General features: G+C 34.6%; 1 protein-coding gene and 1 long non-coding RNA gene across 8 annotated transcripts in view; one reads left to right on the top strand and one right to left on the bottom strand.

Moving 5' to 3' along the window:
- The window catches only part of AGMO (alkylglycerol monooxygenase), a 444793-nt gene extending 439303 nt beyond the window's left edge, over positions 1–5490 (bottom strand). For all 7 annotated transcript variants that reach the window (XR_001744759.1, XM_017012204.2, XM_011515402.4 and 4 more), the window contains exons 1-2: positions 5195–5490; positions 3616–3746 (exon numbers count right to left, since the gene is read on the bottom strand). Coding sequence is in view for 6 of the 7 variants with exons in the window: in XM_017012204.2 (XP_016867693.1) it covers positions 3616–3746; positions 5195–5320 (257 nt within the window). In the remaining variant the exon portion in view is untranslated. The remainder of the gene's footprint in view (positions 1–3615; positions 3747–5194) is intronic.
- On the top strand, positions 2332–3675 carry LOC124901591 (uncharacterized). Its single transcript, XR_007060217.1, has 3 exons — positions 2332–2502; positions 2656–2788; positions 3571–3675. It is a non-coding gene; the product is annotated as an uncharacterized LOC124901591 (long non-coding RNA).
- Positions 5491–6000: the final 510 nt, after the last annotated feature.

Genomic DNA, 6000 nt, shown 5'->3' on the forward strand with positions numbered 1-6000 from the left:
CTTCTCTGGGGAGGATGCAATTTATGGAAGCAGAAACATTGGAAGGAAGTAACAAATTGAAGTCCCAGTTTTCTAATGAAGGATTGGAAATTGAGTTCTGCTTAAACAAGCAGGAAAAAAATGTGATTATTTTTCACTCATTAACATTTAAGTCAGTAGCAGGATATTTCACAAGTTTTAGATACGTTTGCTTAAACAATAGATTTGGTAAATATTTTGTTAAATCAAGTTTAATTTTTTTACAGTCACATATGCAACTAATTGTTAGAAACGCAGATTATCTGCATGATACACTGTGTTTATCTAGAATACATAGACATATATTTTTATAAGTAGGACTAGTATCTGACTAGGAAGTCTGCCTACTGGATTTCAGAAGAGCAAAACAGATGTAAGCCTGTCCAGAATCTGGTTCTTAGGACAGATGGACTTTTATTACAGATCATGGTCTGTCCAACAGGCTTGTAAACAAGACATAATATTGTCCATCGTTAATATTTTCCTTGAGATAAAGGTTTGAAAGAGGCAGCATGTGTCTTTTCTATCAACATGGTAGGCACGCTATTAATCTTTAAGGTACCTGAAATTTTATGTAATCCTGAAATTAAGATCCTCAAAAAAAAACATGGTTTTTCTTCAAAGTCTGCACACAACATTTCTATTACATGAATGGCGAAGTGGAAAAACACGTTCGCTTTGATTTCCACTTCTTTTGTCAGAGGCCACATGCTTATTTGGAATTATTATCCAAAGCATAATTCTTCACAAACGAATTAGCAAAAGGCATACTACCATTTGTCTTGCAATCACCTATTTGAAGGACGTGGCAAGCCCCTGTTGCTAGTGTAGAAAATGAAATTAGTCCCTGGGAGAGGATCCGATCATTGCCGTGTTAATCTAACCCTCAGCTGTTAATGATTTGCACAGGGATTCCCCTTGATGCTGTGGCTTCAACTGAAATATTGTTTTAAGAATTGATGTCAAATTCTTCCTTTTTTTTTCTGAAAGGGGATTGAGAGGAATGGATCCACAGGCTCGCTTTTCCTTTTCTGTTTATATCTGGGTTTGGGATTTTTTTTTAATAGCAAAAAATAAAATAAAAATATTTTTCACCATAGTTTTATATAACAAAACAAAAAAATGCATTTTCAGATAATTTGCTTTACTGGGATCTTTCAGACAAGGCTGTAAAAGAGAAAATTCCTTGAAAAACTTTTTAAAAATCCACATTTCATAATTTAGAATTGTTCTTTACATCTACAAGGAAGAAAGGAGTAATTTGCTATTCTCATTTAAAATACTTTAGAAAAATATTCTCCAAATTAAAGTTCATAACCTTTTACCTTTCTCTCAAAGGGCACCAGAGTTAACAGTTTGTGTTAGTTTAAGGACTGTTATGAGTAGTGGGTGAAGGAAAAGAACCTCATGTTCTATCCCTGAAGGACTGGTTTGTTTTGGTTTCTTTTTTTCCTTCTCTCTCTCTCTCTCTCTCTCCCCCCTTTCCCCTTTCTCTCTGCTTTTTGGGGTGTATTTTTTGTAAAAATATCTCTTTTATTCTTGTTTTCCTGTTATAACTCTGTACCTTTTTAAAATAACACTGCTAAGCAAAAATATTGTATTGAGGATACAGTTTGTATTTCTGGTACTTACAATGTTATGATAAGAGAACAATCTAATTTCATTTGGAACAAAATCAAACTTTAAAAGGTAAAAAAAAAAATTCTGAAGAGTTCATTCAATTTGCTGTCAAATTCATTGTCAAAATGCTTAACAAATGCATTCCAATTCAGTAAAATATATGACCCATAATCGTATATACAGGGCAATTTTCAGTTATTGGGTGACGTTTATAGTTTATCAATAATCTGATTTCCATAACCTATACACTTAACTTTCTGAGAATGAGCTAAATTAACCAACTGGGTATTTTTAAATAACTAAATCTACATCTAAATCTATATACCCTTGGGCATGTTGAATGTTTTTCTTGTTCATTTCTGCTTAAAGGGGACAAGTATTATAATAAAGGAAATTATCTATAATTGTAAATTCTTATTCATGATAATCTGGGAATTAGCTGCAAATTTCTGGAGACATTATCTTCTTCTGATTTCAACTGCAAAATGCAACAATTACAAGTAGTTTTTCAGAGTAAATATTATTAATATTACTTCTACTATATACCTAATAATGCACTTTTCTCAAACACTTATTGAAAAAATTTTACTTTTAAGTTTACTTTTATTTAAACTATTTTATGTAATATATGAAATTATTCCACCTTTTTTAGATATTTAAAGTTTTAATGTTATTTTTTAAAAATCCACCTTAGCTTCCCACTGGGCGGTTAATAGAAACATTCCAAAGCAATGAGCACCAGTCAGAAGTAAAGCTCTTAAAACAGGACAAGAAGAAATGGGTGGGAAGCTGGAATGAGAACATTCATCAGCAGCTCAAAGCACAGACTTCTAAGGGAATCTTTCCTCACCCTCTGCCTCTTTGGTAAGCCCTCACGTGTTGAAGATGACTTCCATTTATTGGTCTTTCCTCTTCACACATTATAATGTACTCTTTCTAAAAAATAGTAGGTCATTTATATCTTACTATTATTGAGTCCCAATATCATCTAATTTTATCATCAACATAATGTTACAGGAATATTACTGCTTTTGGGGAAACTACATGCAACAGACATCATTCCAGGCACAGGAGCTAAAACTATTAAGAACATACACCTCTTGCTCTCAAGTTGTGTGCAAGCTAGCAGGAAGGGCTGAGAGAAAAACAGGTAAGCATCATGTCATGTGATAATTCTAGATCTGGGATAAGCACACAATTCCATGGGACTGTAGTGTAGGAATGCAGGAATGCCTAACATAAGGTTGGAAAACAGATAAAGCTTGCTGAAGAGTGTGATGTCTATGCTTAGACCTAATGAATGAATCTGAATTGGCCTGGATGGCTTTCCAGGCAGAGGGAAGTGCCTGTGGCATGTGGACAATGGCAAGTAGTAAAGCATGACAGGATAAACATGACAAATAGACAGGAGAGTGGACGATCCAAAAGCAAAGCCAGAGAAACAATGTTCTCTATAGTTCAAGACAGGGATTTTTACCTTACACTTGAGGCAATAGAGAGCCAGTGAAGGGTTTCCACTGGATTCATATTATGGAAATGCTTGGCTGCAAACGGGGTTGTACTAGAGCCAGACACCAATTAGCAAACTATTGTAGTTATTCAGAGATTTGTGTGACCTGCTCTAGGGAATGGCTACACCCGAGACAGCTATTCTTTCTGAAGCTGGAAGAGACAAAACACAATTTTAATAGAGAACCAGACCATAACTCAGAGTTGGAACCTCAATAAGGCAAATGAAGCACTCATTTCAAAGGGATATCAACAGAGTCAAGATAAATAATGTTTGCGGTGATTTTTTAAATAAGTGCAAAAAATCAATGAAGAACAAAATATCAAAATTTTAAATAATGACATGAACTGAATTTTTTGGGAAAATTTGTGTAAATAAACTAATTCTCCCATGCATTGGGTTCCTTTGCCCCTCATACTTAGGCAATTTCAGTTTTTATGCTCAGCGTTGTTGACCATCTAACTCACCTTGGAAGTCGAGACAGAACACCAGCTGAGATTGACGTTAAAGCATCATCCAGGCGACCTGGTGGCTTTCCTTTGAGAATCCAGCTGACAACAAGTTCAAGCAGCATCAAAGAAATGAAAAATGGAGTTGCCTGGAAAGGAAGTTGCAGAAAAGAGATGCTATTATGTTCCATATGAAATTATTTTACATTTCCTGATTAGTCATTTCAGAATTGAAAGGCCCAGATTTGGGAAGCCCTGCAGGAGATGGTAGACACTCATTTTAGAGGATTACTTCCTACACAGTGGTAAAGAAGTCTAATTATTTTAGACATACACTAAACATGTGCTCAAATTCTATCATCCAATTTGAATATGAAATGTAATCATAGATATAACCACGATAATTATAATATTATAAGATTAAGAGGAACATCTTCCAAATTAGTTTAAAAAATACATTTAGAATAAGGTAGATAATTAGAGGTCTATTGTCTCTACATGTATAATTTAGACCCACTTCAAGAGGCTTTCCTTAAAGATGCACATAATTCTAATTTTTCATATTAGACTTACCAGAACTATTTCTAATGATGAAATTCAAAGAGTAGAGACAATTTTCTGCTTAGAATTTTAGAGAATATGGTAATTTTACATGTTTGCTTAAAACATGATTCAGATTTTATTCATTTGGTTTTGATTTTTGTTTCACATAATAAGAGATGTTTTGAAAGCTCCACTATTGGTGATGGAGCATTGAATTTGGTTTGATATTGCAGTATAAACAATAATAATTTATGAAGATATCAGTGCCACTTTTTTTAACTTAAAAACTCAGAAAGAAAGTGTAATATCTAATCTTGAAAAAGATACGGATTTTACTCATTTGGAAGCTAATCATGAGTTTTGAAGCTTTCTAAACTGAACTCTCAATAACATATTCTATGATGTCATTTTTTTTCTATTTCTGCCATGAACTAGTGAGTGTTGTAGGAATAACTTTGATAGGGTGGGGAACTTCAGTATTCAAGTTCTAATTCTGGATATTTCCACTTCCAATCATAGCCAGGAACCAGAAGTGAAATGTGCCTCTGAGCACTTCAGAGTTTCAAAGAAAACTTGGGTCAAATTCAAACTTAGGAAGTCAGAGCTGGACCTGGTCAAGCTGCATATCCTTCATTCTGCTGAACTACTCTACCAAATGAAAGAGGAAATAGTTTCCCTGGAAGGGGTGGACAAGTGAAAGATTTAAAAATGAAATTGTTACAAAGTTTACTGATGTGGTGTAACTATTTGTCATTGAGCTTCCAATAGCTACATTTACAATGCCATGGAGTCCAGGAAAACTTTAAACTTTTGTTTTTGTCATATTCTGGAGTGACATATAAAAGAGGGAATTTACAGGTGAAGATGGCTATGGATTGTAAGAAAATTCAAGTGGAAATTCTACTTTTGCTTCACGCCTTTAAGAAACTGAATTATTATTATTAGAATGTAATCATTTGAATAATGAAAGTGAACAAAACCCTAAGGAGATTGACCTTACCATTTATTAAGAAAGCAGCAAGAATAAGAGTAGCCTCTTCCAATAAAGTCTCACCTTTTTTACATAATCAGGCACCTCTTCTAATGTTTGGAATGAAGTTTCACTGGGTTTCATCGTGTAAAACAACATGCGAAATCCCTGGGAAACTGAAACATCCTGCTGGGCTTCTGGGTTCTTCATTTCTGCCCTTGTCTGATTCCCAGCTGGAGAATATTTAGGATTCAATGCTTGAAGCCTGAGGCTGAACAAAGAGGACGAGATGTGCAGCTCAGAACAAGCTCTTTGTCAGAGAACAGCTAAAACCAAAGCTCCACTGAGAGCACACTCAACAGCCGATTCTGTGTAGAGAGACAGGAAAATACAAGGATCAAGAACAAGTACAGAGTTCAGTGGGCGCTGGGCCAGAAACAGGGCATGTGGGGGAGGGAAAAGAGGACTCATACCCAAATCAAAGTCATACAGTGCAGTTTGACTGTAGGTGGAGCAAGTTACTACTTAAAAAAGAAGAGAAAAAACATCATAATAGTGTCTCGGAAAGAAAAAAGTGATAACGCAGGTATATGTTCACTCTGAAAAACTGGATAGAAATTCAAGCATCAAGTCACATAGAAAAACCTTTTTTTCTCCTCATTTAGAAATTTACAATGTGTTCAAGCTTGTAGTTTCTTTATTTCCTACAGAGACTGTGTATAGGCGAGCTACTTAATAATAGCTTGAAAGTCAGTAAGCACTGAATATCTGGCTCCTTATTGCCTATCTATATTTCTGTATCTGAATCATGTTATTACCACTTCTGAATGTTTGCAACCAGTTTAGGGGCATTTGGCTTATTACATAATCTACATTATTTAATGGAAAAT

This window comes from Homo sapiens, chromosome 7 (assembly GCF_000001405.40).
Source record: "Homo sapiens chromosome 7, GRCh38.p14 Primary Assembly".
In the NCBI taxonomy this organism is placed as follows: Eukaryota; Metazoa; Chordata; class Mammalia; order Primates; family Hominidae; genus Homo; species Homo sapiens.